The sequence below is a fragment of the Homo sapiens genome, chromosome 9, assembly GCF_000001405.40.
Source record: "Homo sapiens chromosome 9, GRCh38.p14 Primary Assembly".
NCBI lineage: Eukaryota > Metazoa > Chordata > Mammalia > Primates > Hominidae > Homo > Homo sapiens.
The window spans coordinates 130,615,139-130,642,183 of record NC_000009.12 but is presented as its reverse complement, the minus strand read 5'-3'; the positions used below and the strand labels follow the sequence as shown (position 1 = coordinate 130,642,183).

Genomic DNA, 27,045 nt, shown 5'->3' with positions numbered 1-27,045 from the left:
CAGCCTCCCGAGTAGCTGGGATTACAGGCGTGCACCACCATACCCAGCTAATTTTTGTCTTTTTAGTAGAGACGGGATTTCACCATGTTGGCCAGGCTGGTCTCGAATTCCTGATCTCAGACAACCTGCCCACCTCGGTCTCCCAAAGTGCTGGATTACAGGCATGAGCCACTGCGCCCAGCCCCTTTTTTATTTTTTTAAGAGATGGGGTCTTGCTGTGTTGCTCAGGCTGGAATGCAGTGGCTATTCCCAGGCACGGACATAGCTCACTGCAGCCTCGAACTCCTGGGCTCAAGTGATCCTCCTCCCTCAGCCTCCCTAGTAGCTGGAACTACAGGCATGCATCAGCACTCCATAATCTTGTTTTATGTGTGTTTCTGTTTAAAGACCCCTCATTGGCCGGGCACGGTGGCTCACGCCTGTAATCCCAGCTGTTTGGGAGGCCCAGATGGGTGGATCATTTGAGGTCAGGAGTTTGAAACCAGTCTGACCACGCTGAAACCCCATCTCTACTAAAAATACAAAGAAATTAGCTAGGCATGTTGGTGGGCGCCTGTAATCCCAGCTACTCGGGAGTCTGAGGCAGGAGAATTGCTTGAACCTGGGAGGCGGAGGTTACAGTCAGCCGAGATCGTGCCACTGCACTCCAGCCTGGGTGACAGAGCAAGACTCCATCTCAACAAATAAATAAACAAAAATAAAAAATAAATAAAAATAAATACTCCTTACTTAATATGTATATTGTTCACCTATTAACATTGAACTCGTGGCCAACAGCCGTGTAACTCAGGCCTGCAAGAGGCAGAACGCATATATTGTCTCCATCAGCTACACCTCAGCCTTCCTATGCTTAGGAATGCTAGATGGCCCTTTAGTGCCATGCTTGGGGGCCACTTTAGACAGTAAAACTGTCAAAAAAGAAAAAAAAAAGGCACAAAATGCAAAAACTGTGGCACTAAGTAGACTGCAAGGAAAAGTGCTTATTTATGACACGAGAGCTGAAACCAGAAGGCAGAGCGCCGCCTTTTCCACCTCAGCTGGGAACACGTGCATCCGGTAACTCACGTTTTTCACCGTGAATGACCCGCAGATGCTCTGTGGGGGTAGATTTGGGGGTTGCAAATACGTTTCAGTGAGTAGGTGAATTTGCAAATACGGAATTGAAAATGATGAATGACTGTAGTGCACTTCCAGGGCTGGCCAAGTTGGTACTCAACCCTAACTTTCAAGATCTTCTCCCATCCTGCCAACCATCTCCCTTGGTGGTGACTACAAAAGACAGTGCGCCCCCAGGAGGCGGTGGTCACGCTCTCCTCTGAAGCCCCAGACGGAGTGCAGCATAGAACCTGGCACAGAACTGGCCCCTCCATGCCCGTGTGAATAAAGGCAGGTCTCAGCCTTTGACTCTGAGCCCTCTTCTGTGAAATGGGGAGATTAGGCCTTTCTACCTCCCAGGGTGCAGAGACCACCTTGGAAGCAGGTACCTGGAAAGGGCCAGGACCCCCTTGGTAGATGCTACAGAAACACCTTCAAGACAAAGGACAGCCAAGATGACCATTGTTTCAAGGGCAGTGAGGGTTGTCTTTGCTTCCCCTTCCACCCTACCCAAGACACAGACCCAGGGCCTGCAGCCCCCTGCGGAATTGAGTGTCAAGCCACTTTCTGGCCATTAATCTCTAAGCATCTATCAGGCCCATTTGCTTCAGCCCATCTTAAAAAACCCCAGCTGGGCCCTAGTGGACCAGAAGTGGGGCTGGGAGAGAGTGGGGCTGTAGCCAGCTAGAAGCTGCGGCTCTGGGGTGACCCACGTTCTCATGGACCAGGCACTGCACTGTGCCATCTGTGCCCCAGCCGACCCTACCTTGGGGGCTCTGGGACATCATGGGTGGTCACCACTGTCGAGTGACCCTGGAAAGATGGTGCCTCCTATCTGATGGGAGGCCAGGGGTACTGATTGAGGCCCGCTGGCTGAGAACTCCTCAACCCCAGCCCAAACTTCTGGGTGGGGCTGGGATCGGCTCAGCAGGGTCCTTGATGGATCCTGAACTTGGGAGGCTGGCAGAGACCCAGTAGGCATGGGCGGTGGCGGGTGGGGGTGGGGCATGCATTCAGAAGACAGACTGGGCAAGCGCCCGCCCCGCCTCCCGGACCCCGACCGCCCTTACAGTGATGACCATGCATCTTTCTTAATGGAACACAACCGCTGAACTTGGTACATTTCAAGCACTTTAGCCTCCAGTACACCAGACTGCTGATGAAAATCATCTTCCTTGGGCGCCATGTTAATGAGAGGCCAAATTTCATATGCTTGCAAACTTTCCCCCCCCGCCTCCTGTCGTACCACACCCCCTCCCCCCAATAAAAGATTGCATCAGAGAGAAAGAGAGATTTCCATAATTTATAGTATGGGCATTTCACTGGGGACAAGCGCTAATCTGTACTTACCGATACATTTAAGAAAATGCATCCTCCGCAAGCCTGCGCCATTTATGACTCTTGGCACAAACCACAATGCTCAGTCTTCAATTAAGGGACACCTTAGGGTTCATTATCACACAATCGCTCCCTGTGAACCATGCCAAATGCTGTTTTGGCACAGAGCTTGGAAGATGAATTAGAAGGAAGTCTTCTCTGTAATGCCCTCTCCCGAATTCCCATTACCGTCATCAGCGTTTACGCCCTCCTCCCACTCGGCCCCCTCCCCCCACTTTCCAAGTGCCTTTTACTATTCAATTTCTCAACGTCAAACTCGATTCTCTAGAGGTGCAGTTAAAAATGCCACATCTCCTTTTTGTCTTCCGGCTCTCAACAGGCCTGCCATGGCCGCAGATGGGCTGCTCTCCACACCCCTTTTCGGCCTGAAGGAGCCACAGCTGCTTTTTTCCCCTCCTGTCAGAAGCTTGGAGTACAGACAAGGGGCCGGTATTGGCCAGGCACAGCCCAGCAAGCCCCGTTCAGGATGGAAACAGGTCTCTATATCTAAGTAGAGACCCGCACAGAAAGCCTGAGGGCGAAGGCAGGGCCCCTCAGACGTGAAAGCAGACACTGCTCAATGCCAGTCACCCCAACCAACGGGACAGAAGGAAAAAAAAAGGCGAGGGCTGATGCTATTACTTAATGCCCTTCCAAGTCTGAGGCCCACACTGTCGCCACGAGTCCTAAGACCACAGGACTGTAACTTAACACCTCTGGGGAAGGACGCCCCATTTGTTTCTTCATGAAAGGACAGGACATAACGAGCACGTGTGCTGATGCTTCCCAGCCCTCCTGGCGATCTGGTGTCCCACCGTGGGCACGGGGCTAAGAGCGAGAAAGCACCACCACCACAGCCACAGGTGAGGCTGGGGACAAGGAGGTGGGGGATGCAGGCAGCAACAGTCAGGGAAGCACACCGCGCCTAGGGCAGCCCACCTACATTTGCAGGCGAATGTGTGTGCATGGGCACGCAGGGAAGGGGAGCGGGCGGAGGGCAAGGGGCTGCCCAGTCAGTCGCAGAAGTCTGCTGACCCGCCGCACGCCCTTCAATGCATCTCCCAGCTCCATCCGATGACACTCCCATACTGACTTCTCACTTACAGATGCCTGACTGTGACAGGGAAGGGGAGCTGAGCCCAACCACGGCTCTCAAGTCAAGCTGTCAAATCATACAGAGCCATTAACATAAAATTAGCTTAACGAACTAGCTAGACATCTAGACTGTGCACCAACGAAGGCGGGTGGACGCGGTGCAAGATGACGGGCGAGGCCCGCAGGAATCCTCTTTCCCTCTCGGGCGGCCGCGGGCAGGGGCAGAGGGATGAACCGGCGAATGGAAAGCAAACAGGCCAGAAAGACTTTGCCCACAAGATGCCTTGTGGAGATTTTATTATATAGAGTGTAAAATGAATTGTCAGTCAAATAAAAAGAACACTTTGTTTTCTTAAAAACCCCATGCATAACATTTTCCAATTGTCTTTTTTAATAGTTAGACATTTCAAGCATTATAAGAAAAATAAGGAGAAAAAACCAGAAACTGTAACTTCAGTACATTTCAAACGGAATGTCCCTCAGGTCAATTAGAAATGCAAGAAAAAATAGCTTCAATTCCGTTTTTTTTCCTTTAAAAATACATGTTATCTGTACAAGATACACTACAGTAAACACTGGAAATCATATTATCCCTTTCATTAAATCAAAATTATTTAATTCATAATGCGGTTAATACTAGATTTATTTATTCATCTAGTTAATCTGACAAAATATTAAGAAAATATTTAAAAGAAAAAAGCAAACAACACCTTGGAATTAAAAATAGTTATAACTACATTTTTATACGGTTTAATGTTCCACAGTGTGTGTTAAAAGTTATATTGAATTTCTTAATATTAAAAATAACAGTATTTATATTTCTGAGATAATAGAGAAAGGTTTTTTGTTTTGTTTTAAAAACAAGCTTGGAGGTCTTAGATACACAATTGCAACTGGTAATGGAGGCATGAGAAAAACGTAGGCTAAACACACGAGCACATTTTTATATTACCCCTTTCGAACTCTAGAAATTATACAAACCCTACAAAATGCCCCTCCCAACCCCTGTTGGACAGCAATACAATTATCTGTCTCAGTTCAGAATTCACATCATTCATTACAATACATAATAGTTCAGTTTTTTTAAAAATGCAATAAAACCAGACAGCCAAGATACAAGAAATTAGAAGTAAAACATTAAATGAATTTACACATTTAAGAATACTTAAATACTGCTTTAAAATTTTTAAAAAGAATTTGTTACATACCACCTAAGACTTCCAAGCCACTTTCTGTTGCAACAGAAAAAACTGCAAATAAAAAGGACACAAAACCAAACCAAACCAAAACCATCATGTTGAAATGTCACAGCTCTGAGGCACATTCTGGTGCCTGACTTTGTAGGTATTGCTCCAAAAAGAATCCCAGAGCTTATACATTTGAAATAACAAAAATAATGAAACAAAAATGATCAGCAATTTTTAGTAACTAATTTTCCTGATTTTTAGAAAAATTCCGTTAATCTAAATATAGTGTTTCACAGAACAAAACAACAGTTCTTCATCAAAAGGTTTGCAAATGTAAAAACCTCTGTTACAAATAGGTTTTCTTTGACAATGATTTTGAGGGGAGAGTTGGCCACGAGGACGCTGTCCTACTGCTCCTGTGGGCGGAAGGGAAGAGGAATTAGTCTGTGATGGCAGGTTCTCAGGTCTGTGTGCCAGTGACCTCCCCCAGGTCTCGCGTCACGGGAGCTGGGCCAGACAAAACCTCTGCTGAAGAGGTCTTGGGCTTCTCTCTCCACTAGGGACTTGGGGCAGGGAAGAGCGGACAGTGGGAGCCACGCTTCTCCTCCATCACCACCAGCCCTGACACCTGTTTCCCCAGGACCAGACCCAGACGGCCAATTTGGCAGTGAGAGGCCCAACCAGCTGAGTCCAGGGCCAGGAGGTAACTGAAATGTTATCCATGAGGACCTGACTGGCATCAGGTGGGAAATGCGCCCTGTGGGAACATTTGGACGTCTTCCCTTCTTTAATAAGAAATCCGTTTTTGGCCTCTGAACAGAACCCTCTAGGTTGTGCACAGGAGAGGAAAGCTGGGCTCTGCCCCCCTGCCCTCTCACTGCTTCCTGCTGCTGCCCGGGCATGGCTGACGGCCTGGCCACTCCACCCTCCTCGAGAGCAGTCGCCGGAGCGCACCCTCTGCACTTGCTCCTTTACGGTTAGGGAAACTGAGGCTTAGAGGAAGAGAGAGACTACTAATCAGCCCTGAGGTCTGGGGCCTGGACTTGAGGAAAGTTCAGGCACTTCCTTGTAGGGGCTGCGCCCCCAATCCTCCCACTTGGCCTAAACTCTTTTTCTCCAGAGCGAGGAGGGACAGAGGGGCTGGAGCCGGGCTCTCAGCAGAAGCAGCCTCGCTGAGGAGCTATGGCGCCCAGAGGTTCCTCCTAGCCCAGCGCTCTCATCCTGGGGTCAGGAAACACAGAAGGCTTGGGAGCAGGGGCTCGGGGCTAGGGAGTGGCAGCGGTGCTGGTGATCAGCTACAGACCTGGCTGTGGGCCTGCGCCTGCCCTAACGTCTGTCCGTAGAAAGCGACCTGCTGTCTGTAATATTCTGCCCAGGCCATTGTGTAGTCCGGTGGGGAGCTGGCCTGAGGAGCAGCGCTGGCGGCGTGACCTGGTTGACAAAGGAGGAAACACAGGTTATCGGGAGCGGAGGTGCACTGGGCAGGACCCTTCCCAAAGGCCCTGGGCATCTGCTCTCCCTCCGGACGGCTGGAAGGCAGGGAGGTCTGGGAGGCAGTGAGGTGAGGCTGGTGTTGCAGGAGCGCTTGCTACAAAAGGTGCTGTTAGCCTCTTGTTGCCCGGCCCCTGCTATGCCTGTGAAGACCAATCCTCACGCCTGCCTTCTCTCTGCGGAAGCGCATTCTCTGCATCTCCCTGCCTGCCCCTTCAGCTCCCAGGGCCCTGTGACAGACAGAGAAGGGGGGATCCTGGGGTGGGGGTGGGGGAGAAGGGGAGTACCTAACTTGGGTGCCTGTGATAGTGTCCAAATCCTGTGAACAGCTTCAACACAGGCCCAGGGGTCTGGGAATTGGGATTTGGGGAAGACTGGGCAGCTGAGCTTACAGCACTCTGGTGACCATGACTCAACACCCCCACCTCCAACCCCTAGAAGGGCCATGAACCTGGCGATGATGCCAACACCAGGGGGACCACTTCTCTGGTAGCCTTCAACCCGATCTCTTCCAACCAGCAAGAAACATCCTCCAAACACAAGGCACGTGAGATACCTCTTTAAACAAGCCCTCAGTCCTCCGGTCTAGTAATCGTGGGATATATCCCGAGAGTCTGGTCCTGATTTTATGTGACTCCCCAGAGACCTTTTGCTTGTTGGGTCCCTCGCCCTGCTCTGAAGGCTGGTTTCATTTCTGGTAGTTAGAAAACGGGCCTACTTAAGAAGAGAAACTAAGCACCCAGCTCCAATGCCCAGGTAAGGCCTCCTTCCCTGAATCTCACCACCTCTCCTCATCTGCCCTGAAGCACCAAGACAGAGAACAAGATGTCTGGTTGGTCTGTTTGCCGGCCAGGTGGCACCCAGCCGGAATCTTTCAGTCCCTAAGGAGACCAGACGCCAGCTGAGCCCACACTTCCAGGTGCCACGCCCACCTCAAGTCCTTTGGAGCCCAGCACGGGGAGAATAAAGAGGAGGGGATGTGCCGAGTCGCAGGGCAGCCTGTGGTCACTGACTGACTATGCCCAGACTCCTGACAGAAAGAAGCAGGCAGGTACAGGGTGGAGGACGAAGGCAAATAATGAGATCAAGCCACACAGGGAAGGCATTAGGGAAAAAAGAGGTGACAGTGAGCCTTGGACTCTGAAGTCTCTGGGCTGGAGGGGACTGTGCTGCCACAGGTTAGGAGGGCCGGGCACTCACTCTGTTTTTTGTAATAGTCTTCCCAGGCCTTGCTGTAGTTGGGCTGGCTGCTCTGCGGCTGGCTCTGCTGGCCTGTGCGAAGAACACAAAAGCAGTCAGGCCTTACGGGCTCCTCACAGCCTCGGCCCCAGCCCGCCAGCTGCAGGCCCTGCCCTGCACTCCTCCACCTCGCTCCTGGCCACACACGGCTCCGCAGCCCTGCCTGGGAAGGAGGTGGCAGCTGGCAGGGCTGGGGGAAGGGGTGTAACTAAGATCACTGTAAGGGTGGGGCTGGGCACACGAGGCAACTAGCAAGGCTAGCCTGACCCTCTTCAGATGGAGACGCAAGCTTGACGGCCACAGCCACTGCTGTTCTGAGGCTCCCCAATCAGCCTTCCAAAGGACAAAGACTCCAGAGGCTGCTGACCACTCTCTTCGCGTGGCCCTCTGTTCAAGGCCTGGGGGCTGTGCCTCTGGACCAAGGGAAGTGGAGGGGCCATGTGGAGCAGGGGTAGGCAGCACCAGTGGGCTCCTGGACCCTGTCCAGCCTCAGGCCAGCTGGGGTAGGGCAGAGGGAAAGGGGGTGCATGTGTTTGGGTGGTCCAGCCCTTCTCTTCTGTGCAGGACCCTGGGTTCACCCTCTAGGCTATGTGGGCAGTGAAGACTGGGGGACGCGGAGAAACAGCCAGCATGGGGGAACAGAGCCTCAGCACCCTGCCAGGCACAAGAGGGGGTTCAAAGACTTGACCACAGTGGCGGGTCAGGACCTCTCCTTCTGCCCAGGCCGGGGCTGGCTCAGGTGTCCACCTGCCAAGGCCCACAAAAGACCCCCTCACTGTCTCGTCTCCTGTAAGGATTGTAGCCTGAAGCAGGGAGGAAGGGCAAACCACTGCAGAGAGCATGCAGCCAAATGCTTTCTCCACTAGTTCACTTTACTGCATACTGAGGAGCAGCGTGGGGAAGAAGCAAGCAGCGGGAGGAAGGAGGGAAGGAGACGCCCCGCTTCCTCCCACAGGGGCAGGGCGAAAGAGGGACACAGGCAGCAAACACTCTTCCCTCGGACGCGGAGGGCGCCGGCAAGCAGGACTTCGCCGCCAAACAGTATTTCACCAACCCAAACCGGTTCTCCACTGCAAAACCCCTGAATAAACAAAAAAAGCCAAGCTCCACAACATGAGATGAAGGCTGCCCAATGGCGGCAAGACCACCGGGTGCCTCCTGCACTCTCCCTTCCTCAGCCCACAGGCCTCTGCCCGTTCCACCCGCCAGGGGGCCGTTTCCCCTGAAGGCCTCCCAGGCCTCAGTGTCCCCAGAGTCAATCCTGGCCACCTTGCTGCCTGGAGGATTATCTCAGACTAGAACAGCAGGTGAGGAGCCGAGGAAAGGAAACAGGGTTAGCCCCTATGGCCAAGCGAGCAGAGGGAAAGGGGATGGATGGTGGGATCTGGGTGCCTTGTGGGTGCTCACTGCAGAGTGTTCTAAGATATTTGAAACGTTTCATAATAAGATACTGGGGAAAAAAAGGGAAGAAACACAACTATACAATTTCAGAGCATGCAAGTACTTTAGAATTCAAACCCAAACCCTTGATTTTACATGTGGCAAAGTGGAGCTCCAGAGAAGGCAGGGCGTGCCTAAGGCCACACAGCACTGGCCTCAGGACTCTGTGTAAGGCTGAAGTGGCAGAACCCCAGAAAGGGGGCTCAGGCCCTCCGAGCCAGGCTGTGAGGCGGGGCCTGCGGCCTGGGTGCTGTGGGAATCTGCAGACACTGAAGAAGCCTTTCTAAACACAGGACAGAAACTCCAGATGGGTCAAAAGAACGTGGATCGTACTAAGGTAAGGGTTCTGCTTTGCTTTGTGAAGGCCATGCCAGAGGGGCTAGACCAGCTCTGAAACCCAACAGTGGTTCCTGAAGCGTCTGTGGGGACAGAGAGGGTGGCGGCTTTGATTCCCACCAGGACTTTCTCCTTCACAACCAGCCTCCCTGGAGAGGCGGGATGCAGAAGAAGTCATTCCCTAGCTGTTTGCTTCTGAAAAGTTCAGGAGATGGAAGCCTGAGAGGGGAGAGGAAGGCAGCCACCCAAGGCAGGGGCAGGGAGTTGGAGGGCCAGGAACCAGCCCCTCAAGGGGTGGAGAAGAGGAGGAGCAGAAGCTGGCTCAACCCATCCCCACCCATGCATAGGGAACGAAAGTGACAGAGGCCCAGAACTCTGAGGACAGGTGGGCCAAGAGAGGGCCAGCCCAGAGTCCCCAGCCCGCCTGAGGTTTGTGCAGTTTCCCTTGGGGCCTTTTTCTGAGCATGCACAACCCCTGGTACAGGCCTGCAGGAGGGCCCAAGCCCCACCCAGAGGGCTCCTTGTCATTTGGGGAGGGGCATCCTGGGCCTGCTGGCTGAGTTGAACGAGGGCGTTTTGGCCCCAGGACTTCTGTGGGCCGCAACCTTTCTGGAGGGCATGCACTCCCCGCCCCGAGTCACTTACTTGGGACCTGCTGTGTGGGCTGCTGCCACGCCTGGTAGGTGCTGCCCCAGCCCTGGGTCAGAAAGGCCGGAGGACCACTGTGGATAACAAGAGGGTCACTCGTTCCTATAGGGGGCAAGTCACCCCTGTCGTCTCCCTCTTCACTGCTCACCTCCCTCACCCCAGCCAAGCATCACCGGACCCTTGCCTGTCGGCAATAGCCAAGTGACCACCTTAGTGCCGTCTGTCCCCAACTGAGTCACAGCAGGTCACCTACCTCACAGGGGTGCTGTGGGGGTTCCCATTCACCTTGGCAGCCATGTTTGGGAAGCACCCGGAGCTCCTTGGAGGAAAGGTACTGGGAAAAGGTAAAAGAAACAACAGACTGAGCGCCTCACAACAGAGGGCTCGTCCCCTCCCCGCAGCCCCAGGGCACTGAGGGGGCAGTCGGGACAGAAGACCCTCTGCCCTCTGAGAGGCTCCCACCCCATCGCTGAGGTCAGTGAGTGATAGGCCGGAGGGACCGCTGGTGAGAGGAAAAGAAACGAGTCCTGCCCACGCCCAGAACTTCAGGCCTTGGCTGGCACTCGCTAGAAGTAGCTGGAAACGACAGGGGATCTCTGGGGAGCGAGTGAATTCTCCCAGGCAAGACTGATGCAAAAGACTCACTTTTGATGAGGTGGGGCAGGTGGCTGGCTGAATGGACTCTGTCCGAAGGCTCCAGGTGCTCCGAGATTGGTCCCCTGTGGGGGCACAGAGGGAGCTCTCACCCGCTGTTGGTTGCACACCTCTTTCCTCTGCCCAGGCCCACCCCGAGGCAAAGCCCAGCTTTTGGGGAGATGGAGTCGAGTGAAGTAAGGACACCTACGCACTCACACTAGCCTTCCTTCCCACAGCAGGCTGCGCTGCAGAAATGGCTTCTGCCCTCCAGCGACCAATACCACCACACAGCCAGTCCTGGCACCACCACAACTGCCCTGGCATCACCCTGGGGGTAGGGACCAACCTGCTTGACTCTCCCGTCAACTTAGGCTGGCCCAAGGCTCTTTCTGCCATTCTACGTCCCCATTGAGGTGAGCAGTGGCCCATCTGTCCTCCATCAACACTCCCTTTCTTTATCTGCCTTGAGGTGCCTGAAACTAAAGCCAGAGTCAATGAAAGCTGCCTGCTGGGCTGGCCGCCAGGGCAATGCCAGCGGAGTCCCGGGGCAGCGTGGGGGGAGGCTGCCGCCCCAGCCGCTCATCTAAGCCCGCAGGGGAACGGCTCTGGGGCCTCGGCTGCTGCGGCCTTGGTGAGTCCTGCCAGGCTTCCTTCATTGCTTCTGGGCCTGGCTCTGGCACTCCCTGGGTCTCCGACCCTCCCCTTCGGCAAAGCAGGAGGGGGCTTGCCCTCGTGTGATGTGAGAACCCACAGGCACAAGCAGCACAAGGTGGTGGGAAAAGCTGGTACCTTGGACATCCACAAGAAAACAGCTATGAGTAAACCAGGTGGGGGAAGGACCCTGTACGTACGCCAACTTTCTCATCTATGAGCTGCCTGGCCACCTCGATCTGCTGGGGAACCCCCCTGATGGTGAATCTCCGCAGGTTGGGGTCGCTGTTGGGAGGGGGGTTCCTCTGAAGCTCCACGTGCGCCCCTGACTGCTGGTTGATGCTTTTGATGTTCTCACCCCCTGCGGACAGCACAACACAGGCAGAAGAGTAAGCAGAGACTGCGGCAACTCCTGAGGCTCTGGGGCACTTGGCTCCAGAAGACAACTCGGGGGGATTTTGTGCACGTCGGCACTTGCCCTGACAGTAGAGAAGTTGTCTCTATTTACTCCAAAGTGGTTCCAACTAAACCCAGGGCTCTCTCACTTGCAAAACTAGCTGTTTGGAGTGAAGCTGGACTTTCTCTCAAGGCCAAGCTGAGGCCACAGATGCCATGTGAAACCTCCATGTGAAGGTCGTGAGTGGCCCAGAGACCAGGTCTGGGCTGAGGCCTGTGGGTCTACACCATGGAGCTCACCCTTGGGGGCCAGCTGTGGGGCTCCCGCCCAGCCAGGGATGGCACTGCCCTTCTTAGCACAAGAATGGTGAGCCAAGGGCGCCTCCATGACAATGGGGCCTTCAGCCTGGCTGTGGGCAACTTTCTCCATAGGCCAAACAGATGACCACAGGCCCAACCATGCCTGGAGCCCACTCGGGCCTTCAGTATCCCACCCTGTCACTTCTCAAGTCCCTGCCTCCTCCATGGGGTGACGGTCTACACAGGCAGTGCAAGGATGGGGTGGAGGTCACAAAGACCTGGGTGGAGCCGGGCTAACAAAAATTCAGTTGGTCTCTTTCAAAAACCTGCGGAGAGTCTCAGTCTCTTAATGAAATTTGCGTAATAAAAGCTCCAGCAGCGTAACAATAGTTGGATTCTTCTTCTGAAATTCACAGAACTTGCGGATCTGCTCTGCTCAACTCTGTGGGGGATGGAGTGTTGCTAGGAGGAGCCAGAATACAAGGATAACTTGGAGCACAGTTTGGAAAAGTGGAGAAAAAGGTAATCTGCTCCAAAGCTGGTATAGGGCAGCAGCGAGCCTGGGTGATCAAAAGCAAAGACCGGGGCCAGTGTCGGCCCCTCCTCCATGCCCACAGTCAAAAAAACAGGCCCTAAATGCCATGTGGCACCTCACCAAGACACCGTCCACAATCCTCCAAACACTCCAAGCTTCTCTCTACCCACTGCCAGAAAAGCCCTGCCTCAACAGCCTATCGGGCCAGTAGGGAGGGGACGCTAAAGGCAGACACAAGGGCGTCTTGCAAGGACTCTACAGAGGTCCAGGAATGAAAAAGGCAGGTGGTCCTTCCTGAAGGCAGCAGGGGCTGCCCTTACGGGGGAGAAAAGACGCCGGGAGACATGGCATGCAGATAAGGTCGCATGCAGAAGACGTTGGTTAAGTTTAGGGTGGTTTTAAATTTAAAAAACAACTAACAAAACCAAATGTTGTGCTTGTGATTTCCTTAAGGTCCCGCTGGAGTTTCAGAGAAGCATCCCTGCATTTTCCACCCTGGCCAGACCCGCCTGTCTGGGGACACCGGGCCAGCACCCACAGCTCTGATTTCCTCTGGGCCGGTACAAGCCCCTCCTAGGGGACCTTTACCTCTGCCCTTTACTCGGAGGCCATGGATTTTATCTTCTCTGCACCATGAAAAGCAGGCTCCTAGGCAATGTTTTTTGGGGAGCAATAAAGAATAGAGACTTGGCCAGGCGCGGTGGCTCACGCCTGTAATCCCAGCACTTTGGGAGGCCAAGGCGAGTGGATCACCTGAGGTTGGGAGTTCGAGACCAGCCTGACCAACAGGGAGAAACCCCGTCTCTACTAAAAATACAAAATTAGCCAGGTGTGGTGGCGCATGCCTGTAATCCAAGCTACTCGGGAGGCTGAGGCAGGAGAATCGCTTGAACCCCAGAGGCGGAGGTTGCAGTGAGCCATGATCACGCCACTGCACTCCAGCCTGGGCAACAAAAGCGAAACTCCATCTCAAAAAAATAAAAAAAAATAAAAAAGAATAGAAACCAAAATGGAGACCATTTCCACAGGCACACGTAAGACTCGAGGGAACCCTACCAGCCTCCAACCAGATCCACTTGGTCTGGAGGCAAAAGCACAAGTACACGAGTGTCTGCGACTGAGAATCCTGCAGTCCCCAGACAGCCGAGGCCCCGGCCCTCCCCACTGGGCCCCTCATCCCCAGGCCTTGGGAACATGCTAATAAGGTGAGGAGGCGCCACAAAACCTCGTGGGGCCAGAAGGAGTTAATTTAAGTTCATCTTCCTTCAAAATGAGGTCACTAGCTTGGCACATGGTGGCTGTCTATAGACTCATTCAGCAGCCCGCTCCATTCTTCTACCTGATGGGGGGCAGAAGTGCCCCACCAGTGGCCCCCTGGCTGGACGTGAAATCGTAAAGCAATTAATCAAACCTGCTAAAAGGCCTGGCTGACAAGAGCAGGCTGGCTGAGCTATCTGTCAATGTTGCTGTGTTTATCATGGAAATCCAGCAGGGGCCAGGGAGGCTCTGTGTCTGTCCAGGCCAGAGGCCAAGGAAAGATGGGCCTGGCTGCGTGGGGCTCCTCTCTCCCTTGCCCAGGCGCCCATCTCAAGGAAAAGAGATGTCTCACATGGGCCCTGAGGGGTAGGGGGTGTGTGTGTGTGTGTGTGTGTGCGCGTGCGTGCGTGCGTGCGTGTGTTTAGTGCGGTGTGTGTGTGACATAGAAAGACCCTCCCATATCCGAGACACTAATTAGGCTTCTTTAGGCTGCTATTCAAGCATGGGACACAGACCAGTTACTGCTTCGTTCTCATCACTGTTTTCTAGGAATCACTCAGGATGACTTTGTGGAGGACCAACTACGAGGGGCTGCTCTGTGAGCACCAAGGGCTCACTATGAGAACCTGTCATGGTGAGGCAACAATGCTCAGTCAGGGTTTAGAGACACAAGCAAATGAAAACTTCGCCGACAAAATAGTTTGCAAAAGGCCAAGAAATCTAGATCTAGCTAATCGTCAACCTACAGGCATCAACTAGCTGCAGTCTCACAGCGGTCAGGCTGACGGCCTGGGTAGTGTGGGACTTCTGGCAGCATCTGGTGCAGCCTGCAATATCCCCAAACACTCACCAGCCCGCACACCTGCCGGCAAATGAACACGAACCCATACCAACTCTGAGTGGTTCAGTCTAAAAGACAACACGGTTTCTTGCATTTTGCAAGAGCATAAGCCCACAGTGTCTGTGAGCAGGGACGAGGGCAGCTCCTGGGAGGTGAGTGTCGGGGGGCTCCCACCTGCCCAGCTCTGGAGGTCTCTGCTGGTGAAGCATCCCCAAGTCCTGCCTATCCAATACGAGCGCCCCTCAAGCAGCTAAGGGGTATTTGGTGATCAAAGAAATTTGAGAAACTCTGGAGAGACGACTGTTTTCTCCACATGCTGTCAAATACCTAATGAAGGCAAATACGAAACCCAGTGACAACGGGAGTCCCCCGCTGGCAGCGAGGCCTGGCTCAGAGCCCCACGGAAGCCGAGCCCTGCTGCTACACTGGGAAGGCCCCACAGCCTCGGCCCTGGTCTCAGTAGCCTTTCTGGGTCCCAGGGCTAGCCAAGATGAACTGCTGCCAATGGCTGAGAAATGTGGCTGCTCTCTCCTGGTTCTCAGTGAAGGACAGGAAGGAGCTACAGTAGCCATGAATGAGGGTTTCTTCCTAATGTTCTCCAAAATGCCCAGAAAAAACTAACACATCAATGTTTATTTCCCTCCACAGAGAGTCCGTGACTCACGGTAAATATGCAGAAAGGATAAAAACCATTTTCACATGTTACGCGGATCAAGACCAAATACTCAAACCTGGTAAGGGAAACAAGTGACACACTGTCGAGAAGGAATTTTCACTGAGGATACTGTCTCAACCGTCCCTCTAAGTTCCTTGGAGGTGAGTTAATTACCAATCAGTCGATTGACAAATGCCCCCCATCTTGCGCAAGGTATCTTTTCACCAAGCTAAGCTGCCCTCAACAGGCAGGGAGTTTTACTGCTGTCTCTTCATACTCACCAGAAATAATACACTTTGCTCCTCACAACAGGCCCGTCAGCAGCCTCAGAGAACCATGCCAAGCAGGGTTTCGGCAGAAGGTGGCTACTGCCTCCAGACCGGGCAGCCCCAGCCTGCAGCAGCAAAGGGACCTCACCAAAGGTTCTGGAGGTCCCGTGACCTGCCTTCCCTCAAGCCAAACAGCTGAGGGGGGATGTGAAACCCCAGCTGCCTCTTACCTTTGCCTATGACGAGGCCACACTTATCGGCTGGCACCGTGTATGTTATCTCCTGGACGCCACCAGGGGCTCCCACGCTCCAGTCGCCACGGCCACGACCTCTTCCTCTGGCTGCTGCCAGGCCTCCAAAGCCGTCTCTTTCCTGGAAAGATCACAGGGCTGTAGCGACCTCTGCCACTGCCACAGCACCACTGCTCCTCTCTTTTCCAGGGAGGAGGTTAAGTGACAGGATGTAATCAATGCCACCCATCAGAACCTAGCACCTTTCCACACTTCCCATTCTGAAGGGCTCTTTCAAGCCAGAATTAACACCGATCACAGGTGTATCTGGGGAGGACCTGTGCAGACGAACACACGTGGTTACATAAACAGCTCAAATGTATCCAACAGAAATAGGCAGACACAAACTCCAAGGCTGAAGCCCAGCGGCCTTTCTCCCTGGAGCTTTCCTCACTGGGCCCCGATCTACAGGCATCAAGAACTGCTTTCTCCCTTGCAGCTGAGGCCCCTCTTTCCTGCGGCGGACACATACTGGGCCTATGGGAAGTCAGATATGCACAGCCTGCTGACCCTCCCCAACCAGGCACTGCTATGAGTCACAACACCTGGCACTCCAGTCAGCAAGAAGGATAAACGGATTTTACTCAGTTTTAGAAAACTTCTTGGCTGTTGTGCCCCCAAGCAGCAGCAGCAGTAACAGGTTCAAGAGTGACCATTCAGGGATACTTCAGAAGGGAGGAACAGAGGGAACCTGCCAAGGCCTCCTCCCCATGTGGGGCTGGAGAAGTCTCTGAGGCATTCTCCCACTGTTCACCCAGCAGAGAGAAAAACCTAAATCTAACAGCGGACAGAGGAAGAGCCCTTTCATTGAGACAGCAGCAAGTCTCATTCCAGCCGCTGTCCGCGGAGTCATTTTGGAGCTGCAGTATTTAAACTCTCTTAAATGTGGAGGGTGAACCTGGTCAAGCTAAGAGCTATTTCATGGAAGGGAGAAGCTGCACAGACTTTTCAACACATGAAGAAATGTTGGGCAAAACCTGCTCATGTTGATTAAGAGTAAAGTGAACGTTTACCCAGAATCTAAACCAGCAGAAAGCTGAGACAATTGGAGTGCTTTTCCCCCGCACTCTGCTCTTATGAGACAACTGCCAAGTAAACAAGGCAATTTTAGAATGGATGTTCACACACGCACAGGAGCGCACAGTCAACTTTCTGGGTATGCCACAGATCTCGAAGAAAAGGTTTTCTCCCAAACATCTCGCAGCCTCTGCAGTGCAAGGTTCATAAACTTTTTTTGAGACAGAGTTTTGCTCTTGTTGCCCAGGCGGGAATGCAATGGCAGGATCCTGGCTCACTGCAACCTCCGCTTCCTGGGTTTAAGCAATTCTCCTGCCTCAGCCTCCTGAGTAGCTGAAACTATAGGCATGCGCCACCACGCCCGGCTAATTTTGTATTTTTAGTAGGGACGGGTCTCACCATGTTGGTCTTGAACTCCTGACCTCAGGTGATCCACCTGCCTTGGCATCCCAAAGTGCTAGGATTACAGGCGTGAGCCACCACGTCCAGCTAATTTTGTATTTTCAGCAGAGACAGGGTTTCACCATGTTGGTCAGGCTGGTCTCGAACTCCTGACCTCAGGTGATCCGCTTGCCTCGGCCTCCCAAAATGCTGGGTACAAGAGTGAGCCACCGTGCCTGGCCAAGGTTCATAAACTCTTGCTACAAAAAAAGGATGTTAGAGATCATTTAGAGCAGGGGTGTTCAATCTTTTGGCTTCCCTGGGCCACACTGGAAGAACTGTCTTGGGCCACCCATAAAATACACTAACATTAATGATAGCTGATGAGCTTAAAAACACACACACACACACACACACACACACACACACACACACACAAAATCTTGTAACATTTTAAGAAAGTTTATGAATTTGTGTTGGGCTGCATTCAATGCTGTTCCTGGGCTGCGTGCAGCCCACAGGCTGAACGAGCTTGATTTAGTGGCCGTTTTATAAACTTGTCTAATCTTAAGAATTGCCTGGGTCTCTAGTGAAGACCCAAGACCCTCCCTTGGAAATGCTGATTCAGTAGATCTGGGGTGGGGGCCTACACATTTGTAATTTGAGTAAGAACCACCAGATGGCTCTTAGGGGATCACATAGAGAGCACTGCCTGGTGCAAAGCACCCTGAGTCTGCTGCTGGGAACACCAGACCCAGAGGTTCAAAGGCAGCTCCAAGGTCACATGACTGATGGCAGAGCTGGGACTATAATTTCCAATCTCTTGCTTTATTCTTCCGTTCTGGTCATTCTCAAATGTATCCTCAGTCCTACCATCAGTTATAGGGGTTCCTAGCACTGTCACACAGGCTGGCTCACAGTCCAAAGATGTGCATGAAATCAAGTGCATGAAGGCAGCTTTAGGACTTTGGAGGACCCTGAAGTGTCTTCTACCACTAAGACTGGATTTCACTAACACAGATTAACATTAAATACACTTGATTATTTGAAACTTGGCGACCAATCTCCATGGTATTTCCCCACATGGTTTAAATAGCCAGAAACTTACTGTGTAAAGGCAATCTAGATGGTGAGGTAAATAAAGGCAGAATAATTAATGAGCAGAAAAAAATACCAAGAAGGCAGGAAAGAGGCTGATGTAGAGAAACTGCTGGTTTCCCATAATGTGACTTGAGACGCCTCAGGGTGACAGCTCTATGGTGCTGCACCGAGAGCCCCGGGTAGCACTTTCCACTTCTGCAGCCCAAACACTCACACTCTGCAGAGCTGGACCCACCTGGGCTGTAAGAATCAGCTCGCTGATGATATGCGCTGCATGCTGACACCGATCCGGAGGGCCCATGACCTGGGCAGCTCTTTCTGGACTAATCCCATCATCTGAGGAGCCAGGTGAGAGACAGGATTAGAAAAAAGCCCAACGTTAGAAGGAAACAAGGATTAATCTGATTCCCAATCAATATTCTCACCCGCGGTGCCAAAAGGGGCAACAGGAATACTGCCAGCTGCAGGGACTCTTTTGGAGTGATGTGGGTGATAGGAAAATGTGTGTCATTATATTGTTTTGCATGTTTCAGGTCAATGCTCAATTCTTATGCAATTATAGCCATTTAAAAAATGTATCATTAAAGAACTAAAACAAAGCTTGACTTTAAAAAAGCCAAGGGAGTCAGAGCAGAGCTATGGCAACAGCTTCCAGAGAAGAGCCTGCCATGTTTTCCTCTTTTCAGACCACGTCGAAAATTTTGCTCATTAAGGCAAATTTATAAAATTTAAAAATTTGTCCTTTATTCTAAGATGTTTTGTCTTTGTGTGTGGTTTTAAATTATCTCCAATTTAATAAAATCAAAATTATACATATATATTTTAAAATTTTACTTGGCAAAATCAGAAGCTGACATACTATGCATTTATGACATACTATGCATATACTCCAGGAAGAAAAAAGAAAAAAGGCCTGGAAATCAAAGGTGACCGACATGTATCCGGGGAGGGAAAAGAAGGCTGGGAGAAGAAACTGAGATTGGTCATCTGGTAGCAGGATGTTGCAAGGATGAGAAAGGTGAATACACATGAACCAATAGCCAAGCCCTTGTTTTGTAAGGTGTTTTATCATCCTTTTAACACTAAGGATTTTTTTTTTTTTTTAACACTAAGGATTTTTAAATCATCATACCCACCTGGTTTAAACTGAATCCTCACACCAGCATCATTCTGGATCTTTTTGATCATTTCCCCGTTTCTTCCTATTACAATCCCCACAGCAAACCTAGGCACAGATACCTAGGCACAGAGAAACCAAACCACATCAGAACTTTTCACAAACCTGTCTTTTTAAAGGGCACTTTTTTTTTTTTTTTGAGACTGAGTCTCGCTCTGTTGCCCAGGCTGGAGTGCAGTGGCACAATCTCAGCTCACTGCAGCCTCTGCCTCCCGGGTTCCAATGATTCTCCCACCTCAGCCTCTAAGTAGCTGAGAAAACAGGCACAGGCAACTATGCTCGGCGAATTTTTGTATTTTTAGTACAGATGAGATTTCACCTTGCTGGCCAGGCTGGTCTTGAACTCCAGACCTCAGGTGATCCGCCCACCTCGGCCTCCCAAAGGGCTGGGATTACAGGCGTGAGCCACTGTGTCTGGCCAGGACACTTTTTTTTTTTTTTTTTTTTTTGGAGATGGAGTCTCGCTCTGTTGCCCAGCCTGCAGTGGCACGATCTTGGCTCACTGCAACCTCCACCCCTGAGGTTCAAGCAGTTCTCCCTGCCTCAGCCTCCTGAGTAGCTAGGATTACAGGCACCCGCCACCATGCCCAGTTTATTTTTGTATTTTTTAGTAGAGATGGGGTTTCACCATGTTGGCCAGGCTGGTCTTGAATTCCTGACCTCAAGTGATCTGCCTGTCTTAGCCTCCCAAAGTGCTGGGATTATGGGCGCGAGCCACCACGCCCGGCCCAGGACACATTTTTTTTTAACACGCAACTTAGTTTTTATTATAGTGCATTCCTGGAAATGATATAATAAAGGACATTTTTCCCTTTTAGGAATAATACTGTGGTTGAACTGCGTTCTTTTTTTTTTCTTTTTTTTTGAGACAGAGTCTTGCTCTGTCGCCCAGGCTGGAGTACAGTGGCACCATCTACGCTCACTGCAAGCACCGCCTCCCAGGTTCACGCCATTCTCCTGCCTCAGCCTCCCGAGTAGCTGGGACTACAGGCACGCGTCACCACACCCGGCTAATTTTTGTATTTTTAGTAGAGACAGGGTTTCACCACATTGGCCAGGCTGGTCTCGAACTCCTGACCTTGTGATCCACCCGCCTCTGCCTCCCAAAGTGCTGGGATTACAGGCGTGAGCCACCATGCCCGGCCTGAACTGCATTCTTAACTGTTAAATGCATCCAATTTGAGATTTGATCAAAATGGTTATAAAAATGAATAAGCCTTATAGATAAAAGATGAAAAATAGTAATTTTGCCTTCCAATAAACACACCATACACACTGTTACCTGGGCTGGACTTGTTATCCAGGCTGGGTTACAGTGGTGTTAACTGTAGCACACTACAGCCTCGATCTCCTGGGAGGAGTGAGCCTCCCTCCTTAGCCTCTAGAACAGCTGGGACTATAGGAATGTGCCACACTAGGCTAATTTAAAATACTTTTTTTTTTGTTTTGGTAGAGGTGGTGTCTGGCTATATTGCCCAGACAGATCTCAATCTCCTGGCCTCAAGCAGTACTCCTGCCTAAGCCTCTCAAAGCACTGGGATTACAGGCGTGAACCACCATGCATAGCCCTAGCGGTTCTTTAAAATGCATTTTTTTCCTTCATTTTTCTTTTATTGTGGCTAAAATACACATAATATTTATCATTTAACCACTTGTAAGTACACAATTCAATGACATTACATACATTCACAATGTTGTGTAACCATCACCACCATCCATATCCAAAACATTTCATCATCCCCAACAACTCTGTACCCATTAAACAATACTCCTCCTTCCCCCAGCATCTGACAGCTTTTGCTACTTTCTGCCTGTATGCATCTGCCTCTTCTAGGTGCCTCAGATAAGTGGAATCGTACAATATTTGTTCTGTATCTGTCTTATTGCACTGAGCATACTGTTTGTAAGGTTCATCCATGTTGTCGCATACAACAAAATTTCATTCTCTAGGATAGATTCTGACCCCATTGCAACCTCATCAATAAACACAGGCTGCTGAGTTTGACAGAATCATGATATACATCACCAAGAAAACCTGAACTTTGGTTTTTACCTGGGCAACTGGTTAACCTCTAAAGCAAAGCTTCAAAACCGAGGGAAATGGCCCCACGCCCTGAAGTGTAGCCAGCTCCCTCACTGCAGGCTGCTGCTGTTCCAGTCCACCCTCACACCCACCCTAAGGAGCCAGAGAATTCTTAAGGTTTTGAGACAAAACTTAACTAACTTGCTCAGGGTTAAAGAGCTAACAAAAGTGTGACCTACAACTTTAGTCCTCATCTCATTTGCCTACTAACCTGTAATTTAAGCATACCTCTATACTGCCTCCTCCCATTCGAGAGTTGAAATCGCCGCGTACACCCCGAAAGTCAGCTTGGTCTTTTTCTCGGATAATCTCTAGTACCATTTCTCTTGCTTGCTGCATAAACACAAACAAAAAGCATTATGAGAAAAAATTCCTGAAAAAAGATACATCACCAGGTGAAATTTCAAGATCAAACCCTCTTAACTTGGGTTTAAAGGCGCTCAGCTGTAGGACAATTCACTTATGGCTTATGGGACATGTAGGGGGATGTGTGTATCGTATCTTAAGTGATGTGTTCTTTCCACTGCCCAAATGTCCACACGGGGAAGGGTCCACCTTCTATAAAAAGCCTCAGTTGGGTGAGCACATCTGCGTGTGGTCAGAAATGGATTCCTATCACCCCTAGGTGTTTTTACATTTTTAAATCTTTTTCTTTCTGATCAATAAAGTGGACTGGCCTAGGTGTTTCTTGATGCCATTTCTTTCTAGCAGGAAGGGGTGTCTAAGAGCGCCCACTGAGGGCAGGTCCATGAGACAGAGAACTTTGCCAAGGCTTTACAACACAGAGGCACTCCAGTAAGTTAAAAAGAAAAGGCTGAAAGCCAAACACATTGCTTTAAACAAACAACAACAACAACAACAAAAGGGCAAGCCTATCTTATTTCTATAACCTACTGGTGAGACTTCCTTGTGGACGTCACTATATCCCAGGCAGATTCAAGTGTTCTTCTCCCCAAAACACACACTTGGCAAGTCTATCACTGCATGTTGGCCAACCCATGCCAGTACCAGCCACACAGGAATCTGCGCTAAAGACCTACTGTACCTTACAACTCAAGGGAATGTGAGAACTGTGTCTAGGAAGAAACAAAACAAACCCGTCAGCAATTTAAATCTTAGGACAACCTTAGGACATTTGCAGAAATCTGGACATGTACTGGATACCAGATAATGTTTCAGAAGTACAGTTTTCTTAGGCCTGGTTATTCTTAGGAGACACATGCTTAAGGATTTAGGGGTAGTGTCATAACATCTGCCACTTCAATGGTAAAGAAACACACACACATGCACACACATACAGCAAAATGTTAGGCAGGTTGAAGAGATACATAGGTGCCCTAAGTACAGCAGGCTCCATCTCCTAAATGAAAAAAAAAAAAAAAATGAAATATACAGTTTTAAAATTTAAAAATCACTAAAACCCGTTAAGTTAAAATTATTTTCCTGCAAATTTATGGGACATTAATGATATATTCTTTGCTTGGGGTTTTTCCCTACAAAAGACACCATCAAAGGCTGTGATAGAAAAAGAAGGCCTCTGAGGGAGGGCAGCCAAGAGGCAGGCACTCTGTGGCCGCCCACAGGCCTGGATCCAACACCATCACAGTACTGGAGCCCACGGCCGGACGCTGAGCAGGGTGGGGAAAGGCGAGAGGCAATCTGGTTCCTTAAATGCCCAACTGTTCGCACTGAGAGAAGGCTGGGAGCTCTGGAGGAGGCAGCGCATGGGGACTCTGGCCCGATGGAAGTGAACAACCGTATCACTGACTGGAGTCCCCAGGCAGAACCATACCCACCACTGCCCTCACTCCTGTTCTAAAGCTGTTATTTTACAGGTGTACCTTGACCAGCTTAGCTGAAGGACAGGGTTCAGAACTGGGGGCAATATTTTGCCAGGGACTGGATACTTTCACTGATCAAAACCCAATGCTCCCAGAGAAGACCCATTCTTCCCAGAGAAGACCCATTCTTGATGGTGGCCTGGCTCACCAAGGAGCATCACCCCGGAGCTACTCTGAATGTGGCAATGGCAAGACAGGCTGCAGGTGGCAGAAAAAAGTAGATCTGTGTTTCACTGAGGACAGACAAAAACCCTACACCCTCCGCCCACTTGAATTCCTGCTACTAGCAAGAGTTGGAAGGACAGGACCACCCCAGGGGATAGAAAACCAAGTCCCTTACTGCTTCCAGCCAGCGGGGCTGTCCCGCCTGGCAGCTCGGGGCGCAGGACACTTGCTCTGAGGGTGCCCAGGCACTTGGGTGGCTCTGGTGCTCACCCTGTGCTCACCTCCAACCTTAGCTGAAGGGCTTGCAAAATAAGCCCAGAAGAGAACGAGCAAGTAAACGCCAAGCAGAGCCTGTATCTCAGCTGACCCCAGGTCAGCAAATCAAAACTGCACCTGGAAGGATGACGTGGGGGAAACAAAACAAAAAACCAACTGTCCTGAGCCGTGCCACCAGCAAGAGCTCGGAAATGTTCTGCACACACACAGTCCAAAACAGTCACCACCAGCCTCAGGTGTTACTGGGCATTTGAGATATGGCCGGTGTAAATGAGGAGCTCAGTTTTTATTAATCTGAGTGAATTTAAATAGCCACAAGTAGCTAAGGACTCTGGTTTTGGGCAGCACAAACCTAGATTCTTTTCATCACCAAACTTTGTTGAGAACAGTTTACCTTCAATAACGGAGCTGCCAGTTTCACAATTACTTGAGGAAGATAAAAGCTCTAGGGTACCACCGAGTGATAGCCCCAACAGCCAGGACTCACCCAACCCATGGCACTTTCCTACCTGTACTTTAAATGCATCTCCAGTGATACGAAGAGGCTTGTCTGCTCCCGTGGGCAATGGGCCATCCTGGATCATGACCATCTTCACCCCTGTCCGCTCCTGTGGGGAACACACACCAGCACAGCCTCATGAATAATGCAGGGCATGAAATGCAGGGCAGCACAAAATCGGACCCAGTCACACCCACAATAAGCGCACATCCCACCTACCACCAGGGACTGCCTTCCAACCTGGGCCATGAAGCTGGCTTCTGTGACAGCAGACATATAGGTCGGGTACGACCATGTCCAAATGCGAGATGTAAAACCATCTCCTAAAATGATTCCAGTCCCTGGAGCATCTAAGCACTAAGGAGCTACTTTCACTGAATGCCAGGCACTTGGCACACACTCCATTTGACATTATGTGATTAGAACTTCTGTGGAACTGACAGTCAAGTCCTGCCATCTTTCTACTTCAGCACATACGGCCCTAGGTCCAGAGCTAATGAGTGGCGGACCAAAACTGGGAGGCTGGGATCCCAAATGATAAACTCCCTGAGTCTACATTAGGATACCATCCTTACAACCAGGACCCAAGGACCAGGTTATGAGATGGCACGCAAGGGAAGCCACAATCCTTTACTCGCAACTGCAAAATCCCTTTTCTGAAAGAAAGTTTACTTATAATTCATTTGGCAGCAAAACTGAACTCATGTCAGTGTATTTTTTGCCTTTCTCTGAGTGTATTATTCTATTTTGCTACAGAAATATGCATTTGATTTCAGGGTACAACCCCAGAACTTGCTGGGAGTGTTAAATTCTGAAACCCGTTTGGTCCCGAGAGTCTCAGATGAGGGATTCTGGCACTAACAGCAGCTAATGCTCATGGAACATTCACTCAGTAACAGGCTCTTACATAAAAAGAAAAGAACGGCTATTATTTTAGCTCCATCACAACAGTGAAGCCTGCACTTGCCCCTTTTGACACACAAAGACCCTGAACCTTCAAAAAGTAAATGAGCACATTTAAGATCAATCAGTGAGGAAGAATGCTGGGTCAGAGCCTCTGACTCCAAATACTGCACTTTTATCTGAGATGCTGTCCTATGATGATAAAAGCAGCCCTCACAGAGCTCACTGCCAAAAAGGCTGCTCAAAGTTCACTGGGGCCCCTGATAGGGCACACCTGCCCTAGTACTTGGCATCATATTTGGCATCAGACGTGGCCGTGGTGTATGTTCAGAAGCTGTCTGTCAAATGGAGGAAGGAAGCCTCAGCACAATGCTGCACAAAGCCAGCCCAGCCAGGGAATGCCAGCCGTAAGCAGATCTCCTGGGCCAGGAAGCTGAAGACCTGCTGCGAGCGGCCGCTGTGCTCCGTGCTCCGGGCTCACACACCTGCAACTGCTTGATTGTTTCCCCTCCTCTGCCGATGACCAGACCCACTTTAGATGCGGGAATGAGAATCTCCTGGATTGTGCTGTTGCTGTCTATGTCATTATGAAAGCCAGGTCCATTTCGACAGCGGTCCACAATCTGTCCCAGGAGCCGTTTGGCTTGTCTTTGGGAGGGAAAAGAACCACAAGAGAACCAGCATTAAATGGAGGCTCTAAGTGTGCAAGACAGGGAAATAGCACTGAGGGAAAAACCTGCGGGAGTCAGGGCAGCCCTCCATCCAGCTCCAGCTCCTGCCCCCACAACCCGGAGGTCTCTCTGCCATCCGCCACGCTACCGGGCTGGAATTTAAAAGCAACACACACCACAGTACCAACGCTGTGACACAGAGCCTTGCCGCCCCTTTCAAGCCTGCCCTCTGCTCATGCTTGTGTCTCCACAAAGGTGTCGTCTCCTATTAGGATGCCAGCTGCTCTGGAGGCAGAGACCATCTTTCATCCCTTTACATCTCTCTGTTCCCCCATCCAACATGACCCTTCTCACAGAGTAGACTCAATATATACATTTGTTAAATAAATGCAGGCAGGAGAGAGAGCCAGCAATGAGAAAGATGGGAAGAAAGCAAGCAAGGATTAGTACTCACTGTCTGAACTCCCATACTCCACGCTTCTTCTTCATAACCAACAACACTGCTCTATGACTTTTAAGCTAAGGCTATGAATCCCAGTTTGGTTCCAAGAGGTGGGAAAGGGGGAGGCGGTGCTGGATGCAGCTGTGCACTCACAGACACCTGCTTTGGGCTTTCCATGGCAGCCAAGTTGGGACCCTGCGTGTCACGTGTCCTGCTATTTGTGTTGGTTTCTTGGGCAGCGGGAGAGGGCAACTGCAATGTTGTGACAGCACAGCCCAGACCACCAAAGTCATCTGCTGTGCCAATTTCCTTTTCTGCACCAGAATTTCTCCTGGTTGTTATTTCTCGTATTGATTCTCTAAATTGCCACACACAATCTGCTTTTTGGTTTCTCTAATGGAGAAGAATTCAGCTACTAAACAGGCTAGCTGTGCTGCTCACTGAAGACAATGAAATTTGTTTCCTCCTAAAGTTATAATCCCACTGCCTCTGCTCCTTGGGTAGACAGGAAGCAGGAATGGTTAGAAGAGTAGGAAGAAAGAAGAGAAAGGCAGGAAATAGATGTTGCCTTTTGTAGTCTTGAGCCTTTGTGTACAGAATCAGCTTCGTGTATCTTCCCAGTTACAGCAGCTTTTTAATATTTTGCCTGTGTACTAGATTAACCTGTGTTGGAAGAAAAATGCTTTGACTCCAGCAAACCATCCAGTTGCCCTGTAATGCACACCTGCCAGCGATATTTATTATGGTTCAC

At 50.7% G+C, this 27,045-nt stretch overlaps 1 protein-coding gene and 1 non-coding gene across 5 annotated transcripts in view, besides 3 other annotated features; both read right to left on the bottom strand.

Moving 5' to 3' along the window:
* Nucleotides 3,337-3,932: an enhancer, noted in NCBI's record as "H3K4me1 hESC enhancer chr9:133513639-133514234 (GRCh37/hg19 assembly coordinates)". NCBI's record gives its function as "activates a minimal SCP1, AML or CMV promoter by ChIP-STARR-seq in primed H9 embryonic stem cells {active_cell/tissue: H9 hESC(primed)}" and the evidence as "EXISTENCE:reporter gene assay evidence [ECO:0000049][PMID:30033119]".
* The window catches only part of FUBP3 (far upstream element binding protein 3), a 58,776-nt gene continuing 35,562 nt past the window's right edge, over nt 3,832-27,045 (bottom strand). Inside the window, exons 7-19 of one of the 4 annotated variants that reach the window (NM_003934.2) lie at nt 25,667-25,829; nt 24,289-24,387; nt 21,726-21,830; nt 19,374-19,476; nt 18,473-18,573; nt 15,679-15,820; nt 11,396-11,556; nt 10,554-10,627; nt 10,162-10,242; nt 9,906-9,982; nt 7,446-7,517; nt 6,058-6,185; nt 3,832-5,170 (exon numbers count right to left, since the gene is read on the bottom strand). In NM_003934.2, the coding sequence (NP_003925.1) occupies nt 5,162-5,170; nt 6,058-6,185; nt 7,446-7,517; nt 9,906-9,982; nt 10,162-10,242; nt 10,554-10,627; nt 11,396-11,556; nt 15,679-15,820; nt 18,473-18,573; nt 19,374-19,476; nt 21,726-21,830; nt 24,289-24,387; nt 25,667-25,829 (1,315 nt within the window). In that variant the 3' untranslated portion in view covers nt 3,832-5,161. Of the gene's footprint in view, nt 5,171-6,057; nt 6,186-7,445; nt 7,518-7,550; nt 8,566-9,905; nt 9,983-10,161; nt 10,243-10,553; nt 10,628-10,890; nt 11,024-11,395; nt 11,557-15,678; nt 15,821-18,472; nt 18,574-19,373; nt 19,477-21,725; nt 21,831-24,288; nt 24,388-25,666; nt 25,830-27,045 lie in introns of those variants that run through there. The other 3 variants (XM_005272232.3, XM_011519172.4, XR_007061369.1) reach the window with 3 other exon arrangements.
* Nucleotides 9,224-9,974: an enhancer, noted in NCBI's record as "H3K4me1 hESC enhancer chr9:133507597-133508347 (GRCh37/hg19 assembly coordinates)". NCBI's record gives its function as "activates a minimal SCP1, AML or CMV promoter by ChIP-STARR-seq in naive H9 embryonic stem cells {active_cell/tissue: H9 hESC(naive)}" and the evidence as "EXISTENCE:reporter gene assay evidence [ECO:0000049][PMID:30033119]".
* Nucleotides 12,128-12,422: a silencer, noted in NCBI's record as "tiled region #1186; HepG2 Repressive non-DNase unmatched - State 15:Elon". NCBI's record gives its function as "represses a minimal TATA promoter and a strong SV40 promoter by Sharpr-MPRA in HepG2 cells {active_cell/tissue: HepG2}" and the evidence as "EXISTENCE:reporter gene assay evidence [ECO:0000049][PMID:27701403]".
* On the bottom strand, nt 15,821-15,887 carry MIR6856 (microRNA 6856). Its single transcript, NR_106915.1, has one exon. It is a non-coding gene; the product is annotated as a microRNA 6856 (primary transcript).